The sequence below is a fragment of the Homo sapiens genome, chromosome 5 (genome assembly GCF_000001405.40).
Source record: "Homo sapiens chromosome 5, GRCh38.p14 Primary Assembly".
Lineage (NCBI taxonomy): Eukaryota > Metazoa > Chordata > Mammalia > Primates > Hominidae > Homo > Homo sapiens.
Genome location: NC_000005.10, coordinates 173,738,309 through 173,757,982, shown reverse-complemented (window position 1 = coordinate 173,757,982; position 19,674 = coordinate 173,738,309). Strand labels below are relative to the sequence as shown.

General features: G+C 47.7%; 1 long non-coding RNA gene across 1 annotated transcript in view, besides 2 other annotated features; it reads left to right on the top strand.

Annotated features, from left to right (window-relative positions):
* The first annotated feature begins 11,773 nt into the window (after positions 1 to 11,773).
* The window catches only part of LINC01484 (long intergenic non-protein coding RNA 1484), a 38,611-nt gene continuing 30,710 nt past the window's right edge, over positions 11,774 to 19,674 (top strand). Inside the window, exon 1 of the long non-coding RNA NR_108027.1 lies at positions 11,774 to 11,963. This is a non-coding gene — a long non-coding RNA (long intergenic non-protein coding RNA 1484). The remainder of the gene's footprint in view (positions 11,964 to 19,674) is intronic.
* Positions 13,652 to 13,821: an enhancer, noted in NCBI's record as "active region_23663". NCBI's record gives its function as "activates an Ori minimal core promoter by ATAC-STARR-seq in GM12878 lymphoblastoid cells {active_cell/tissue: GM12878}" and the evidence as "EXISTENCE:reporter gene assay evidence [ECO:0000049][PMID:35858748]".
* Positions 13,952 to 14,001: an enhancer, noted in NCBI's record as "active region_23662". NCBI's record gives its function as "activates an Ori minimal core promoter by ATAC-STARR-seq in GM12878 lymphoblastoid cells {active_cell/tissue: GM12878}" and the evidence as "EXISTENCE:reporter gene assay evidence [ECO:0000049][PMID:35858748]".

Sequence of the window (19,674 nt, the reverse complement as noted above, 5' to 3'; positions counted from 1 at the left end):
CCCTCCTCGAGGTCCCTCTTAAAGAGGCAGACACACTGGCTTCAGTAAAGGACCTCCACTCCCAAGCCAATGCATCCCCAGCCTTTACCAGGACAAGCCTAACAAAGAAAAGGCCACACAACAGGGGTTTCTGGTAGCAACACAAGTCTATTTCAAACCTCGGATTAGAGTATCCGAAAGAATTACCTGTTCCAAGCAAACACGTTCCCACCCTCTGGCAGAAATGCGGTTGGAGCAGCCTGACGCCACGGCAGACTCCAAATACTCTCCACTGAAGCTTGCTTTATCCTGTTTGAAACTCCTCTGTCTGTCCCCAGAGAGTCTGGAAATACACTCTTTCTAGGAGCTGATGGAAAATTAACCCACATTATGAGAGAGCTAGTTGATGCTGCATTGGGGACAGGAAGGTCCATTTGAAAGGGGGAAAAAACAACAACAAAAAAAAAACATGTTCTTTGTAACCAGGACAAGGCTAACCATGCCTCCTCTCTATTGGTCCAAATCTATGCCAGCCTCCCACTGGCATCTGCGGGTGTGCTGAGAGCAAGCTATGGATTTCTATAGAGATTGTCACCATGGTACTAGGTATCTTATTCTGTTATGTCAAGAGGAAAAATAATCAAAAGGTCAAAGGAAGAAAATCTGCCAGAGGGCTTTTCTGTCTACAAATATTTATTAATGCTTTGGTGTGTTCCCGGCATCACATTAGATGCTAGCAATAGCAAGATAGGCCCAGAGAACTCACCTGTATTGCAAATCCACCGTGCGGCTATAACACAAGCCTAGCCACTGTTTATCCGTGATCCCATTTCTCTCTCATGGCAGCATTGAAAGGGCAACAGCATAATCCCTATTTTCTCAATTGGGGGATAAAATGAAGTGTAAGTGACTGCCCAGGTGCATCTAGAATTTGGGATGAAGGGTGTGGTCTGGACCAGGCCATCTCACTTGGAAATAGACAGTATGTGCGGTGGGGATTTGGAATATAAATGAATGAAAGGTCTAAGATGTGAGACAAGGGAGCCCACAAGGGTGTTGAGCACCTGCACCTAGCCACAGGGAGACTCTCTTGCCTCCCATTGGCTTGAGAGGCAGGAAAGGAAACTGCATTACCAGAGTCAGGTGGGGGCTGCAGTGGAGGAAGGGGCCTGGGCTTGGAGCAGGTGAGGGTTGGGCAGAGAATGGACAGTGGGTGAGATGGGAAATCAGGAGTCGTCGGCACAGATACGCTTCCTGACCAAGCTTGGGTCATGGTCCCCACCCTGGTGTTGAAGGCCTGGGACAGGGGATGCACCCCTGTAGTCATTAATCAGTTATCACTGCACTAATTCTGGGAAACAACTACAAAACTCAGTGGCTTATGCTAACAAGCCTTTCTATTTCTTACTCATGAATCTGAGAAAAAGTTGTGTCCCTGCTGGGAGGGACTGGGCTTGACTCTAGACTAATGTTGGGTTTGGGTCTGTACCGTGTCCCTCTCATCCTGTATAGACCAGGACACATGTTTTTCTCACCGGATAATAGGGGCACAGAAGACCAAATCACACAAACACATTTAGAGCCTCTGCTCAGCTCGCAAACACTCATGTGCCACCGGTTCACAAGAGTCACATGGCCAAGCTCGACTTCAGTCCCTTGGAGAGACAAATTCTCCCCTTCAATGGAGAGATACTGAAAAGTCATGTGATGAAGGGCATGGATGTCTAATTCTCTTAAAGGGGAATGAAGAATCGAAAGCAATATTCCAATCTATTCTATTCCCCAAAGTAAATAAAATGTTAACCCCAAACAAGAAATAAACGTAGGTTGAAAACCACCAATGCCCACCACAATGGTTTTGCGTAATACCCACTCGGACAAGTTGAAGAAGTTTGGTGGCAGGGGGCGGGAGTGAAGATATTTTCACTGGATTCTTTCTTGTCCTTGGGTCAAGACATGAAAAGTGCTGGTCAGTGCGACCATAGAGACTGGGATGGGGCAGGTCTCTGATGGAGACTTCAGGAGTCTGAACACAACACTGTCCCATTTGTGACATTTATGAATGCCATGATGATGAAATTCAGAGAAATGATGAAGTTGGGGATCATACCCCAACTCTGGGTCCTGAAACATTTGGAACTCCAACATATTATGAATGTCACGTCTGAGAAACTGAATCCAAACTCACTATTTTCACAGTGGTTGTTATCGGTCCTGCCCATTGGGCTTCAAAACCTGACCACATGGGCAAAAAGATTGGGAGATTTTGCTTAGTTCTGTGATCCTAATTATAGCCCTTCTCTGAACCTCAGTTGACTCATTTGCAAAATGGGACTAATAAGACCTGCTTCAGAGACATATGGAGACAACTCAAAGCAACACTGTGTGTGAACTAAGCTTGGAACCCATGAGGTGCTCAATGCATGTTGGTGCCTAGGCACCCTCCCCTTTGAAGCACGCCCATAACTGGTGGTTCCAGAGGACTCAAAGATCATGTTTTGTAGGGTGTGCCCAACAGAAAAGCTGATGAAGCAAGCACTCACTATTGGAGATGGGAAGCCTGCTCATTCCCGCACTTTAGCCCTCATTGGAAGTGGCCCATTCGACTTCAGGCATACTGCTTAAAGGGACACTTTGACAAAGGGTAGCAGGTTCAGCAAGAGCCACAGGAGAAAAAAAAAAAGGAACTCAACATCCTTTCTAATAAAAAAAAGTTGGAAGAGCAGAGGAGCATTAGGAAAGACAGAAATATAATGCCAAATATTTGCCAGAGTGACTTCTATTTTGAGAATATAGAACACTATCAGATGCAAATGGCAGGCTGGGGATTTTAGCTCAAAGTAGGGAAGGAATTTGCACCCATAACAGTTGCCTGAGTTTAGAACACACGGCCTTATCATGGGGCTTGGGTCAGACATATCTAGTTCAAATCCTGCCCTAGCTCCTCACTCCTCAGACAGCCTTGGGGCAAACATGTCTACTTCTCTAGGCTTCAGTCCAGACCAGAGTTTTGATCACATTAAAAGCTAAGAAAGGGGCAACAGACGACAAAGATTCTTGGATTTGGCCTTCCAATCATTCCCCCAACCCCCAGAACCAGAGACAAGGCAGAAGCCATAGGAGGGGAAATACTGATCCTCCTGGTGCCAGAGGACACGGAACAATGGGAAGGTCATGGTTTATCGCCTGCACCTTGCAAGATGGCAGGTTCACAAGAGAGAGTGAAGGAGAAGGCAGCATTTGCCTGGTTCACGCCATCTCTCCAGGACCAAGCACAAGACCTGACATAATGGCAGCCCTTGATCAATATTGGAAAGCAAGAAAGAAGGCAGGAGGGAAGGGAAGGGAAGGGAAGGGGAGAGAAGGGGAGGGGATGGGAGGCATTCTATGTGCTAAGCCCTCCACTTTACAGAATCTAACCTTCCCAAGTACCTGGTAAATCAGGAATTATTATCCCTTATTTTCCCAATATGTGGAAATTGGGCTTAGCAATTTACCTTTTGCAATTTATGTGACCTTGCGATTTGCCTTTTGCAATTTATGTAACCTCTCTGTGCCTCAGTTTCCTCATCTGAAAAATAGGAGGGATAATAATAACATATTTTGGCTCATAGACTTGTCATGTGAGTGCCTTGTCTGAGACACGATGAACTCAGATTCAATTAAGTTATTATTATCACATTGCAAAAGGCAGCTTTGGGACTCAAGACCTGGTCTTTCTGATTGAAAGATTCTTTTTACCTTACCATGCACTTCTGCAAACAAACATTTAAAAGAGTCTACACTGTAATCAATGCCCAATATATAAATTAATTTCCATTTAGTTTCCTTCTCCCAAGTTGAGGCCTGAGCACAATTTTGATAAGCTACAGATTTATAAATTACTCAGAGCTGGATTTACTGGGGAAGGGTGGTGAAAATGTGGCACAGGGCAGAGGAGGAGAAGTAATTCCTATAAAGTAGTGTCAAAGCAATAAATGCAGATCGTGGGATTCATGGTGATGACAGCTCATCGGCTTCCATGAATATTTGATCAGGTTGGGTTGCAGGAGTGTGGCCTGGAATTTCCAGGCAGGCTGTGACTTGGGCTTATAAATAGTGAACATGCAGGAATGAAACGGACTCCCAAACCTGAGTATCCCTCCCACCAGAAATTTGTGCTGCGTCAACTGGGGGAAGGTGGTGGGTCAACTAGAGGGACCAAGGGGCGAGGAGGAAGAGGGGAGCTGCTAATCACCCACCATCACCCCACGCCTCTACCCTGCTCCCTCCAGTGCCCCCAAATGACCAGTGGTTCCCCTGGCACTGATCTGAGATGGCGCCATTAACAAGGGCCAGAAGCCATTTAGTCTGCGTTGGAATAGCTGGGATAGTGTGAGCCAATCTCCAAGCCCCAGGCTGTTTTCCAGCCCTCTCAGGAGCAGCTCAGGTTTCTGGCCCAGTGAATGGCGCAAGCTGGGGCCTCTCTAAGCAGATCCGGTTACGCTCCCGCACTGCCTGCCGAAGCCAGGGACACTCCGTTAGAGGAGATCAGACTCTGGCTTGTTGGTGACCCTGAAGTGAGGGCCTATCAGCCCTAACCATCTCCACTGCTGCATCCAGGCTTATGACTGTGACCTGAACCTTTGCTTAAGGGGGAGACCATGGACGCAGGAAAATTTGGTTTTCCAAATTTCCAAATCCTAGATCTGCCACTTTCTAGCTCAGGGACTTCAGCAATCCTTTAGCCTCTCTGAGTTTCAGTTTTCTCATCCTTAGTGTAGGGATAATATAAGTATCCAGCTTGTGCCTTTATCAGGAGATATAAGTGAGATGGGCCATGCAAAAATTATTTTGCTCAGTGCTTAGCTCATACTACGTGCTTCATAAATATTAGCTACTTTTATATTTTGTTATCATTGCTGCTGCTAAGAGTATGTTTCTAGGAAACAGAATTTTGTGCCACATTGGCCAAGGTAATCTTTTTTAGACTCAAATGGAAAAATGAGATCTTGTAGTGTCCAACTATTTCTTAGGGACAGACTGCAGCCCAGATAAGCAACTTCCTCCAGGTCACACAGTTAGCTGGGGGCAAAGCTGAGCCTGAAACCAGGCCATGTGAGCCACATTCTCCTCCTCCTCCTTGTTGTACACTATCCAGTGTACAAAATGTTTTCGCATTTATCTGTCTCCATCATGCCATGCCGCAGCAACACACATGCAGAACAAAGAGAACTGGGCCCGTGCAGCCTTGTCTGCCTCACTCACAGTGCATTCTGGGAAACTCCTCCAAGCCCTGGGAAGCCTTGTCAATTAGCATCCTTCTGGCAGGCTTTTTAACGTCCAAAGGAAATCAGCATAGTCAATCTCTTCAGGATTTTAGTTTGAACTTTAATTTCAGCCCCAAGCCTCAACAATATCTCTGTTCTTTGCTCCCTCCATTTCATTTTTTTTTTTTTAAGACAGGGTCTCAGTCTGTCTCCCAGGCTGGAGTGCAGGGGCGCAATCACAGCTCACTTCAGCCTCTGCCTTCTGGGCTCAAGTGATCCTCCCATCTCTGCTTCCCGAGTAGCAGGGACTACAGGTATGTGCCACAATGCTTGGCTAATTTTTGTATTTTTTGTGGAGACGGGGTTTCACCATGTTGCCCAGGCTGGTCTTGAACTCCTGAGCTCAAGTGATCCACTCGCCTTGGCTTCCCAAAGTGTTGGAATTACAGGCGTGAGCCACTGTGCCAGATCTTACTCCCTCCATTTCAAAGGAGAGCTGGAGAAATGAATCTATCCCTGGGTGTGTGTGTATCTGTGTCTGTGTCTGTGTGTGTATGTAAAAATTAAAGCAAATGCTCATGGCACAGGATGTTTCCCCTCCCAAGGAAGAGCAAAGGAAAACCTGGGCTGTAAAACTTGCGCTCTAGGCACCAACCTTGCTGCTACAATTTGGAAGTCACCTGTGTTGTTATGAATTTTAAAATAAACCTGAACTGAATTGTAATTCAGACAAAACAGTGTTTTGCCTAAAAACAAAACCCTAAAACTGTAAGCCACGAGACACACGGGGGGTCAGGGTCAGGATGCAGGAGACACAGACTTCAAACCCAGACAGACTTGATTTCAAGTCTCAGCTCTACCATGCACTGGCCATGAGGACTTGAAAATACCACTGAGCATCTCTGGGTCTCTGTCTTCTCATCTGTAAAATAGGGACAGTATCAACCACCTCATAGGCTCCTTGTCAGACATAAAATGAGAGGATGTATAGAAAGTACCTGATATAGGAAATGTGCAGTCAATAAGAGCTGTCATTAAGTGTGACTGTCACCATGGCATGACTTCCCCCAGTGACATTTCTGGCAGAATTCCTAGATGGTTCTGCTGTGGCGGGGAGGCCTGAGAAAGCACTGACCCCTTCTACCCATTTTTTCAAATGAGGAAACTGAGGTCCAGAGAGGTGATTTAGAAGGGAACTAGGAAAATTAAAAGCTGGAAACGTCATGGAAAGTCTGTTCTTGAGCTGTTTCAGGGCAGTCCTGCTGACTCAAGGGGCTAGGGAGGGACGGAGAGTGGAGTCAAATTTTTGAGACTTATTTACAAGACCAGGGCCCACAGCCTGGACCGCAGTGATGTCAGTGCCACAGCCAACTGCACCACCTGCTCCACCAGAGGATCGGGGGCAGAACCAGCCAGGGGGTGGTGGTCCCTTCTTCAAGGCTGTGGGTTGACTGGCTGGTCACCGCAAGGTGCCCTTAGGTCAGGTTTCTTGCATAAAATGGGGATAACGTCTCCCCCTCAGACTCATTGTAAAGACAAATGCTACATGGGATGAAAGGGTTGCTAACCTCATCTGTGTTCTGGGCTGGGCTGAGTGTTTCTCACACGGTCACTCATTTGGTTCCCCGGTCCCCCCCAGGAGGGAGGAACCTTCACTTCCCCTTATTGCACAGATATAGAAACTGAGGCTTGGAAGGTGTAACCCACTCAAGGTCACACAACTACTAAGTGGAAGGAAGAATGGGGTCTTGGCCTCTGCCTGTCAGGATGCAGATGTCTGTGATGCTGTTCTGGACATGCCCAGTGGGTCCTCCGTGAGTGGCCTCCACAACCAGCAGAGAGTCATAGAGCAAGGCAGGTAGAACAGCTAGCTCTGCTCCCCCGAGATGGAAAGGAAGGCCACCTCAAGGCAGCTTCTAGGACCTAGACTGTTTCAGTGACAGTAGATCATGCTCTCTAACACCTCTGCATGGGATGGGAGGGCTGGGGGAATGGAAGGGCAGGTTTCGTGCCTCCTGTGCTAGCTTGCTCCAGCTGCCACGACAAAATACCACAGTCTGGGATGCTTAAACCACAGACATCTATTGCCTCCTAGTTCCGGAGACTAGAAACCCAAGATCAAGATGTCAGCAGGGTTGGTTTCTCTTGAGGCCTCTCTCCTTGGTGTGCCGATGCCATCTTCATTCACTTGGTCTTCCCTCTGTGTGTGTCTGTGTCCTAATTTCCTCTTCTTGTAAGGACACCATTCATACCAGAGGAGGGCACACCCTAATGGCTCCATTTAACTTCTTACCCTCTTTCTTTCTGCCTGGGTGCCGTGGCTCGTGCCTGTAATCCCAGCACTTTGGGACACCAAGGTGGGTGGATTACTTGAGGCCAGGAGTTCAAGACAAGCCTGGCCAACATGGTGAAACCCCATTTCTACTAAAAATTACAAAAAAAAAAAAAAAATAGCTGGGTGTGGTGGTGCCCACCTGTAATCCCAGCTACTCAGGAGGCTGAGCATGAGAATCACTTGAACCTGGAAGGCAGAGGTTGCAGTGAGCTGAGATGGTGCCACTGCACTCCAGACTGAGTGACAGAGCGAGACTTTGTCTAAAAAAAAAAAAAATGCTCTCTGTAAATGTGGTCACATTTTGAGGTACTAGGGGTAGGACATCAACATATGAATTTGAGGCCAGGGGGACCCAGTTCAGCCATGACACCTCCCTTTACTGTGAGGGGTCAACGTGCCTTTCTGGGTCCACCCACTGTGGCCTATGGAATCTTTCACAGCCTCTCAGCAGCACAGTCCTCGGAGCCACAGCCTGGCCTCCTTGGGTCTCCGGCCAGAGAAGGCTCTGCTCAAGTGTCATCTCCTCAAAGAGGCCTTCACTGACCATCCTGTCTAAACAAGAGCTCCCCTCCCCTAGCCACACAAATTCTCTTCACAGCCTCTATCATCGCCTGGACTTGGGTGTGTTATTTGCTGGCTTACATATTATCCCTCTCCCTACTAAAATGTTAGCTCCCTGAAGACAGAAATTTTATTTTGTCCTAGCTGTACTCCCAGCATTGAAAAAGTCACCGGAGCCATGGGTTGGAGGGAAGGGGCGGGAAGCGGGGAGGGCTGAATAGGTGGATCACAGGGAATAGTGGCATCATGCATATCACGATGCCTTTGTGCAAAGCCATAGAATGTACAACACAAAAAGGGAACCGTAATGTAAACTAGAGGCTTTAGTTAATAAAAATGTATCAGTATTGGCTCATCAGTTGTAACAAATATAGCACACCCATGCAAGATGTTAATAACAGGTGGTAACGGGATTGGGGGGCTTTGGAAGTAGATGAGAACTCTGTATTTTCCACTCATTTTTCTATAAACCTCAAACTGCTAAAAAAAAAAATGAAGTCTACTAATTTCTTCTTTTTTTTTTTTTTGAGATGGAGTCTTGCTCTGTCACCCAGGCTGGAGTGCAGTGGCACAATCTCTGCTCACTGCAAGCTCCACCTCCCGGGTTCATGCCATTCTCCTGCCTCAGCCTCCCGAGTAGCTGGGACTACAGGCGCCCGCCATCATGCCCAGCTAATTTTTGTATTTTTAGTAGAGACAGGGTTTCACCGTGTTAGCCAGGATGGTCTCGATCTCCTGACCTGGTGATCCGCCCGCCTCAGCCTCCCAAAGTGCTGGGATTACAGGCGTGAGCCACCGTGCCCGGCCGAAGTCTACTAATTTCTTAAACAGCACGTAGTACATAGTAGGTACACAGTAAATATTTGCTGATGACTGAAGGATTCAAATCATCAGCCTCAATTTATGGAGGTTTATGCCATGCCCCACATGGTACTGCAAAAAACCCAAGTGAGGTACAAGGCATAGACCCTCCAAAGAGTGACAGAACTCACAGGAAAAAAACACAAGGTCAATGGCAATTAGGTCAATGATAATTAAAACACAAGGTCAGTGGTAAACACAATGTGAGTGGTGATTAATTCATTCTGAGGCTCCTGTAAATTGCCTGCAGGGAGGCTGTGCTACTGGCCACCTGCAGACAGTACCCCAGCCCCCACCTGAGGCTGTGGGAATGCCTTGTAGTCAACAAAGCGAGAGTGACCCCCAACCACTGAGGATTGCCTGGGTAGGGTATTCCATGGCGTGAGCCACATGACTTCTCAGAGGTCCCCAGCAGGCTGGAGCCCAGCTAGCCTTGGCAATTACCTGTCCATCACACACCATCCCATGGTTTTACTCTGTTCCCTGTGTCACTTCCCTAGTCTCTCACCAAGATGCCTGGGGTCACCTTCCAAATAAAAACCTTGCCCCAAATCATTGTCTCAGTGTCTGCTTCCTGAGGGACCTAAACTAAAACACTACCCACTGTAAAAGGCGGTACAGAGAAGGCTCTCCATAAGGGGTAATCACTGTTATCATGTTACTAATAGCAACAGTAATAACGAGCATCATAATGATGAAATAACTGAGACCCCAAGAGGGAGGGTCTCTTGCCCTAGTTCACTTCAGAAGGTAGATGGCATAGGGGTTTCTAATCTAGTCTGTCTGACTTCAACATCTGTGAGATCCCACACACCCACACACCTATGCACTCTGAGTTGAAATGCCTGCTGCAGATTCCCAGGGCTCCCAAGGAGCTGCTCTTGGGGGTTAGATGATAAGGATGGCTGGAGTAATCCCAGAGAGCTTCCTGGAGGAGTTGGCATGGAGTCTCAAGAGAAGAACACAGATTCTGGAGTCAGGCTCAGATTTGTGATTGGGTTCTATGTCCCTGAGCAAGTCACTTTAACTACTTGGAGCCTCAGTAATCCCATTGGAAATGGGAATAATGGGGCCCAGCTCACACAATTGTTATGAAGAGTAAATGTATTGGTGAAGAGAACAGGTTTTAGACTGAGAGAGCTCTGAGTTGGGATCCCGGTACTGTCACTGACAAGCTTAGAAAAGTCTTTTTTTTTTTTTTTTTTTTTTGAGATGGACTCTCACTCTCTCGCCCAGGCTGGAGCACAGCGGCACGATCTCGGCTCACTACAAGCTCTGCCTCCTGGGTTCACACCATTCTCCTGCCTCAGCCTCCCAAGAAGCTGGGACTACAGGCGCCCGCCACCACGCTGGGCTAATTTTTTGTATTTTTAGTAGAGACAAGGTTTCACCATGTTGACCAGGATGGTCTCAATCTCCTGACCTGGTGATCCGCCTGCCTCGGCCTCCCAAAGTGCTGGGATTACAGGCATTAGCCACCGCACCCCGCCTAGAAAATACTCTTAATCACTCTAAGCCAAAGTTCTTTCATTTGTAAAATGGAAATAATATTAGTTCCTACCAGTAGAATTATAGTGAGAATTAAATAAGATAGCACATGTAAATCCCTTAACATGGTGTATGAAATACAGTCAATGCTCACTAAATGTTTGGTACTTTTCATCAAGATGTTAGCGGCAATGGAGTAAATTGTACAAACTATTTTGGATATAATGTGGCACATCAAATTAAAACTGAACACACCTATGGCCCAGTGATTCCACTTTTAGGGGTTTATCCTATGGATATATCAAGATACATGTGTGAGAATGCTGACTGGAATACTGTTTGTAACAGCAAAACACTGGAAACAACTCAACTGCCTCAGTAGTGAGGGAACTGGTTACATCAATGGCAGCAATACCCACAAAGAAATGCCACGTAGTTGTCAAAGGAGAAATGCAGATTCATGAGTGGGATGTACAGAAAGATGTCCAAGGTATACTGATAAGTAAAAAGGCAAGTGATAAAAGAGGTGTATATATTAACCTGTCTCTTTAAAACTTTTTTTTTGAGACAAGCTCTCACTCTGTCACCCAGGCTGGAGTGCAGTAGCTCAGTCACAGTTCACTGCAACCTCCTCCTCCCAGGCTCAAGTCATCCTCCCAAGCAGCTGGGACTACAGGTGTCTACCACCACACTTTACTAGTTTTTTGTATTTTTAGTAGAGATAGGGTTTCACCATGTTGCTGAGGCGGGTCTCAAACTCCTGGGCTCAAAGAGATCCTGTAATCCCACAGTGCTGGGATTACAGGGGTGAGCCACTGAGCCTGGCCTTGTCTTTTTGTTGTCGTTGTTTGGTTTTGTTTTTTAAAGGCATACACATGTGCTTAGAAGTATTCTAAAAATATTCTCAAGGAAGTGTGAACCCAAAGTATCTGAGACAGTCTTAATCAGTTTAGAAAGTTTACTTTGCCAAGGTTAAGGACGCACCCATGACATAGCCTCAGGAGGTCCTGAGGCCAAAAATTGTTTGGCCCCAAGGTAGTTGAGATACAGCTTGCTTTTATATGTTTTAGGAAGACATGAAACATCAATCAATATGTGTAAGATGTACATTGGTTTGGTCCAGAAAGGTGGAGGGGGTGGTTTCCAGGTCATAGGTAGACAAGAGACAAATAGTCGCATTCTTTTGAGTCTTTAATCAGCCTTTCACTGAATACACAATTTACATGCGGTGGTGGGGGGCGGGGGCGTAGAAGAATAGTCACTTATGCCTTAGTCTGGCTCAGTGAATCAGCATTTTTACATAAACAATAGGGCAGAGGAAGCAATCGGATAGGCATTTGCTTCAGGTGAGCAGAGGGATGACTTTCTGTCCCACATCTGTGAAGATCAGCTGTTGGTTTACATTGCCAGGGTGAAATTCAACAGAACTAATTTAGGGTGAAGATCTTGAGGCCCACAAGGAATTTCCTTGTGGGAAAATTGTGAGGAAGGTAAGTAGCTTTTAAAAATCTTTGTAGCTATCTTCTTCAGGAAGGAAATGGGTGGTGGGTTTGCCCAACATGGTTTCCAGCTTGACTTTTCCCTTTGGCCTAGTGATTTTGGGGTCCCAAGATTTATTTCCCTTTCACAAAATGATTAACAGTGATTATTCTAGAGCAGTGGTTTTGCAGGGGCGATTTTTGCCTCCTACGGGACATTTGGCAATGTCTGGAGTCATTTTCTTGGTTGTCACGGGGCGGGGAGGGGGGTGCCACTGGCATTGAGTGGCTAGAGGCCAGGAATGCTTCTAAACATTCTACAGTGCACAGGTCAGCCCACGACAAAAAAAAGAAAAAAGTTTGGCCCAAGATGTCAATAGTGCTGAGGCTGAGGAATCGCTGAGAGGTTTAAGAGGTTGAGCGCTCTCAAATGTGGGGAAGAAGACTTATTTTTCATATAATGCTTCTCTGATGCTTGCATTACATTAATAGCAACAGCTACAAAATCTGCCCACTCTTAGCTATGAGCTAATGCGTGTAAGATGCCAGCATATAGTAGGTGCTCACAAGGTGTTCCTTTCTTGCTGCGCTCTGGCTTTCACATCTGCAGAAATGGGTGTGCCAACACCTGCTCTGGGGGTGGCTGCAAGGCTCATTTTAGGCTACAGTTCAGGCCCTGACCACCTGGCTCTGGGTGCAGCTGTTAAAAGCGTCACCAACCTGCCCGGGGGCAGCTTCCCATATCCCTTCCTCTGCCACTGGTTATTCTGCTGAAGTTCAAGGGCCCCCAGCTGCTTCTCAAAGCAGGAACACTTCTGCAAAACACATCCTGAATTTGAATAGCCATGTTGCTGTGTCTCTGACAGACAGGGCTGCCAGATAAAATTCAGGACATCCAGTTAAATGTCTCATGCAATATTTGGTATATACTTATACTAAAGAATTATTCATTATCTGGAATTCAAATTAAATTGAATCCATATGTATATAGCTGTTGTTGTTGCTGTTTTAATCTGGCAGCTCTACTGTCCAAGCAAGGTAGAGATGAACTGTGTGCTCTTTTCCAAGGAGCTAATCTCATCAGATAGAGATTTTGCTTTTGTTCCATCAAAAGTCTTGCTCACTTACCAAGGGAGCTTGGATCCTGCTGGGAGACTAAGATGGTCACTGCCTCTGACAATTTCGTAAAAATCTCAGGCTCCTGGGGCTTATTCAGGCAAGTTGGGAGGGACGTTTCTGAAACACGTTTGGCCCGGTCATTACGGAGGAGGAGGGATTGAGAGCAGAAAGCAGAAGCGAATGGAATTCAGGCCTCAGGATGCCTCCCCGGCATAGGCCCCATCAGAAGCCCTATTGTATGTTTGTAAGTTCAGAGGCTCCTTCTTAAAGAGGCGCTACACACTGTATGAGCCCCAGGGTCCACCAAGTCTGGGGTCTGGTCCTGGCTGAGAGGGCAGTGCACTGAAGCTGTTTATCCAGTACCTGCTACGTGCCCAGCCATGAGCACACTCCTGGGCCAGCATCCTGGGCTAGGGCTCACTGTGGGTATTCTACAAAGGGGGAAACCAAGGCTCGGAGTGGTGGAGTAACTCCCCCAATGCCACCCAGCTGGGAAGTGGCAGAAAAAAAAAAAAAAAGGATTTGAACCTGGGTTGAGTTTCCTCTTTGCTGGGAACAGCACCTCAGGGCCCTGGTTCCTTGGGGCCGGTTGAAAGGAGAGAGTTGCCTCCCTGAGGGTCTCTGCTGGGTGTAAGCACTGCAGGAAGGGGCTGTCTCCTTAGGGGAAGTTAGGGCCCTAGCCAGGGCCAGAGCAGGAGTAGGTTCTGGGAGGACAACTGAAAGTTTCAGAATTATGCTCAACATCTAAAAATATCAAGCACCGATTTCATGGCAGGCAAAGTTGCTAAGAGACTTCACAAGCATCATCTCATTTAACCTCCCGGCAACCTTGTGACAGTTTGATCATGTGCTGCGTTTTGCAGATGAGAGAACTGAGGCCCAAAGAAATGCTGCATGTACCCAAAAGCACCCGGTGGGTAAGGAGAACAAGGATTTGAAGCCAGGCCTTCTGAGAGAGGGGAGGCAGGAGAGAGGCAGCACTGGACTCCCACGCGGGGCAGTTCGGGGACTGTTGGATTAGTCTCCTGTTACTGCTGTAAAAGATTACTATAAGCTTAGTGGCTGAAAACAACACAAATTTATTACCTTCCAGTTCTGAAGGTCAGAAGTCCAAAATAGGTCTCACTGGGCTAAAACCAGTGTGTCAGCAGGATTGCATTCCTCCTGGAGGCTTTAGGGGAGAAGCCATAGCTTTGTTTTTCCCAGTTTCTAGAAGCCACCTATATACCCTGGTTCACGACCCTTCCCTCCACTCCAAAGCCAGCAGCATAACATCTTCCAGACTCTCTCTGACTCACTTTCGGCCTCCCGTCTCCATTTTTTAAGGACCCTAGCGATTACCCTGGGCTCAGCCAAATAATGCAGAATAATCTCTCCATCATGAGATCCTTGACTTCATATCTTAAAGTCTCTTTTGCTATGTAAGGCAACATAGTCACAGATTGTGTGGATTGGGACATGGATGGCTTTGGAGGGGCCATTGTTCTGGCTATCACAGTGCTGCCTTGGCCTTCGTTGGGCTTTGCCTCTGTTCTGGGAGTGAGGGGTGAAGTCATAGAGCTGGAGGAGGGGGTAGGAATGGGGCTGGGCTGGTGGTTGAAGAGCGGCAGTGAAACAATGATCCTTGATGTGGGACCACGGGCATGGGGGTCACAGGATGGCCTCCCTGAGACGTCTCCAGCCAAGAATCTGAGGAGAACACTCTGGGCACTGCCATATTCCAAGGGGCATGGAACCATGCCAGGGGCCACATGGCTGGGCTCAGCACCTCTCAGAACTGTCGCCCAGGTCTGCATCATTGGGTGGGACTAGGGAGGGACTCAGACAGAAGGACATGTGGAGTGGCCCAGCGGTTCACAGCCAGTTATGCTAGAATAGTATAACCCTTTCACCCAGAAGTTCTATTCCTATGAGTTTATCCTGCAAATAGATCTACCCCTGCATGAAGTGATATATGCAAACTTAATTACAAGATTATTTATAAATTAGAAATAACCTAACTGTCCATCAGTAGGGGACTATCCTGGTGGTACAATCATAGAGTGGAGTTCTACGTTGTCATCAAGAAGGCTCTTTACATATCACCATGAAAAAAATCTCAGAGAAAAATACGGATCAGGATACTATGTTGAGCATGCTACAATTAGTGCAAAACTGGACAAAAGGAAGAATGTATTATATATAAAATTTATATTTGCATAAAACATCACTGCAAGATGACGCATGAAACTGAAAGCATTGGCTGCCTTGAGGGAGGAGGAGGAGTGTGTGCCTGAGAGACAGGGTGGAAGGGAGGTTTGTCATGATTGACTCGTTTCACTTTTCAAATGTGGAACAATATGAGTATGTTCCCTACTAATAAATGAATGGTTAAAGTGTTTTAAAGAATCCTTTGAAATCATATGTTCAAAGAAATACTCAATTGTCTAAGTTGGAAGAAACTGTGAGCCAAGCTACCCCTGAGTGATGGTCTTGAGCATGAGTTCTGCCCGTGACCCTCTTTAAGAGCCAGGGAATTTTTCCTTTTTTTAATTTTTTTTATTTTTTTTGAGACATGGTCTTGCTCTGTTGCCCAATGGAGCAAGCTCTGTTGCAGTGGAGTGGTGCAATCACAGCTCACTGCATCCTTGACCTCCTGGGCTCAAGCCATCCTCCCACCTCAGCTTCCTGAGTAGTTGGGACCACAGGCACGGGGCACCACACCTGGCTAATTAAGGGCCAGGGAATCTTGTTGCCCAACATAGTCACTTCCCTCCCACCATTCCCCACTCCTACACCCAGGGCCAGACAGCTGAGCATGTGGCGGTGCCCCGGTTCACCTTGTTAGTATTCCTCCAGACTTTGGCACACAATGATCCATCTATCTGGGGTACCCTCCCACCTGCTTCTTGCACTGCTTTCAGCAATGGCCATGCTCTCCTTGTCTGCCTGAGCACGCAGCTGAATTGCATCTTCTAGGCTCCCTTGCAGTTAGGTGTGGTCAAAAGTTAGGGCTTTTAGGAGGTCACTGAGGTTAAATAAGGTCATAAGGGTGGGGCTTTAATGCAGTACAAGTTGTGGCTTTATAAGAAGAGGAAGATCTCCCTCTCCCTCTCCCTCTCCCCTTCTCCCTCCCCCTCCTCCTCCTCCTCCCCTTCCTCCTCCTCCTCCCCCTCTCCCCCTCTCCCCCTGTCCCCCTATCCCCCTGTCCCCCTGTCCCCCTGTCCCCCTGTCCCCCTGTCTCCCTGTCTCCCTCTCCCTCCCTCTCTCTCAGCATTATTTTTATTTTCATTACCATCATCATGTTTATTGGCTTAGTATATATTTTTTGGCCACCCAACATCCCTCCTGTTCCTTCCCTTTCCCCAGGAGAAGCTGATCCAGGTATCCATTCTCTCTTCCTCCATGCTGCCCTGGGCCCTGGGGAAGCTGATTTTTCCACCTTAGCTCAAGCAGTGCCTTCGGTTAGTCAAGGGTCCTTCCCACCCCTGCAGCAGTGATTGGGTCTGTCTCCTTGTTGCCTCTTCCTGGTTCCTCCTCATTCCCTGACTCTGCAGGTCGCAGAGTCTGGCAGTGCTCAGTCTCTGACCTCTTTGCTTCTGTAGCTGTATTCTCTCCCCAGGCCGTCACTGCCAGATCCTTCGATTTAAATCCCATCCTTATCAGAGGTTCTCAACTCTGGCTGTACGATGGAACCACTTGGTGAGCTTGTAAAATTCTCAGTGCCCCACTGCACCCCACCGGTTCTATCAGACTCTGAGGACTCAAGCATCCACAGTTTTGAAAGCTCCCCCGTGAATCCACAGAAGCCAGGCTTGGGAAGTGCCGCTGGAGGCAGGGGCAGAAGACCTGGAGGTCAGGAGGACCTCGGTTTGGGTAGCGGCAGTGGATGTGTGAGCAGCCGTGCTTTCTGGGTATGTTTGAAGGTAGGGTGAGCATGGTCTTCTAAAGAATCAGATGTCAGGTGTTAAAGCAACAGAGGAACCGAGGATAACACTAAGGTTTTGGCCTGAGGAACTGGACAGAGGACACCACAGGAAGAGCAGGCTTGGGGAGGGGTCAGAAATCAGATTGAGGTTCAGTTAATTTGGAGACGATTATGATGATGATTTGACATCCAAATGGAGACCCTAAGTTGGAAGCCGACATCAAAATATGGACATCAAGGGAGAGTCACGAGTCGAGAGTCAGAGATAAGGATTTGGGAGTCCTCGGCACACAGACCCACGCCTCTCAACCTCATCTGCACATAGACTCTCCTGTGTCTTTTAAAAATCCTGATTCCCAGGCCCTATCCCTGACTGATGACATCAGAACCTCTGTGGGTGGGCCCCGGGCATCTGTATTTTCTAAAAGCTCTCCAGGTGATTCCACTGCGCAGCCAAGATTAAACACCTCTGTTTTAAAGCCTAAATGAGATTGGGACATTTCTCCATTCAAAATCCTCCATGGGCCTCCTATCTAAGTCGAAGTAGAGGCCGGGTGTGGTGGTTCACACCTGTAATCCCAGCACTTTGGGGGGCCAAGACGGACAGGTCACCTGAGGTCAGGAGTTTGAGACCAGCCTGGCCAACATGGTGAAACCCTGTCTCTACTAAAAATACAAAAATTAGCCGGGCAGGTAGCAGGCACCTGTAATCCCAGCTACTCAGGATGCTGAGGCACGAGAATCACTTGAACCTGGGAGGTGGAGGTTGCAGTGAGCTGAGACGGTGCTACTGCACTCCAGCCGGGGCGACAAGAGCAAAACTCCGTCTCAAAAAACAAAACAACTACAATAAACAAAGTAGAAGCCAGAATCCTCACCACAGACCTCAAGGGCCATAGCTCCTGCCCCCACTTACTCCCTGACCCGGCCTCAAGGGCCATAGCTCCTGCCCCCACTTACCTCCCTGACCCCTCTCCTACAGTATCCCCCTCCCTCATTCTGCTTTAGTCATCTGGCTTCCTTGTTGTTTGTGAAACATACCAAGCATACTTCTGCCTCAGGGCCTTTGCACTGCTGTTGCCACTGCCTGGAATGCCCTTCCCCTCGATGCCCTCATGACTGACTCCCTCACCTCCCTCGGTCTCTGCTTAGACCACTCTAGTTAACATGGCTACTTCCCCAACGTGCACTCGCCTTCTCCCTTCCCTGCTGTATTTTTCTCCCTAGCACTGATCACATCTAACAGTATTGCATATTTTACTCATTTGTTTTTTGTCTGTATCCTCCTGCTAGTTCTAATATGTCAATTTTTAGAACTTTCTTCTATTTTGTTCATAGCTATGCTGCCTATAGCAGGTACTTAATAAATATTTGTTGAAAGGAGAAATATGTTAACCCAGTCCTTGCCAATAAGAACCACAAGGGCTGACTTAGGAATGGGCACGAGACCCAATTTAGGCAACGGAGATGCAAGGGAGGCTGACTGGAGACTTCTAGGAAAGCCTGGAAGAGACGGTGTGTAGATGTGTAGCTGCAATGCCACAACCACTGCTGCCTTGTGGGGTGAGGGATTCGGGTCGGGGTCAGTGCTGGCGGCACCCCAGCAGGGTGGAACTGAAGGAGAGGGGACACCAGACTCGGCCAGTCCCCAGCTTACCACTTCTTTGTTGTTTATGCCAATCAGAGACTTTTTGCTTTTGTTTCTGTTTGTTTTCATTTTTAAGATTGTCTGGGAGGTGGTTGTAGCATTTTTTTTTTTTGAGACAGAGTCTTGCTCTGTCACCAAGATGGAGTGCAGTGGCGCAATCTCGGCTCACTGAACCTCCGCCTCCTGGGTTCAAGTGATTCTCCTGCCTCAGCCTCCCAAGTAGCTGGGACTACAGGCGCATGCAGCTAATGTGTGTGTGTGTGTGTTTGTGTTTTGTAGTTTTAGTAGAGACGGAATTTCACCAGGTTGGCCAGGATGGTCTCGATCTCTTGACCTCGTGATCCGCCCACCTCGGCCTCCCAAAGTGCTGGGATTACAGGCGTGAGCCAGCATGCCCGGCCAGTCATAGCCCTTTTAAACAAATTAAAACTCTCCAAGTATGACCTGACTTTTTCTCCGGACACAAAAAGGATTCCTTTCTGAGGGCAGCACTCCCTTTAGGGCTGCAGCTCTGGAAGCCAAAGCATCAAGGAGTGAGTCCCAGTTTTGCCATCAACTTGCAAGTCTGCTTCCCAAGGGAGGCCTCAGTTTCCCCGTTCTTGAAGGAGAAAAGCCTGAATGTCTCCTCCCAACTGGGAGAGTCTATGATGATCCCTGATGTTTTGGGATTCTGTTCCTTATTTCAGCTTCACACTGCTCACAGAGTAGGCAACAGGACCATGCTTGCCAAATGAACTATCTGACCAAGAAAACCAAATCAAAGTGGTCCCACCCTTCTCTCCAGCACACCATGACGGGATGTAGCTATAGCTCAGCGTAGGGTGGCAATGCAGGAGCAGTAAAGGGAGGTGTTGGAGGGGTCTCAACTGAAGAAGACACTGGATGGCCTGAGAGGGAGGTTGAAGGTGGCATCGCTTTTCATGTGAGTTCATTGCTCACTTAACAAGCACCTACCAGGTGCCCGCTGTGGTGGGCCAGCACCCTCAGCAGGTGCTGGAGCCATGGGCTCTGATGTTAGTGTTGAGTCCTTATGGAGTGCCAGCACTTTC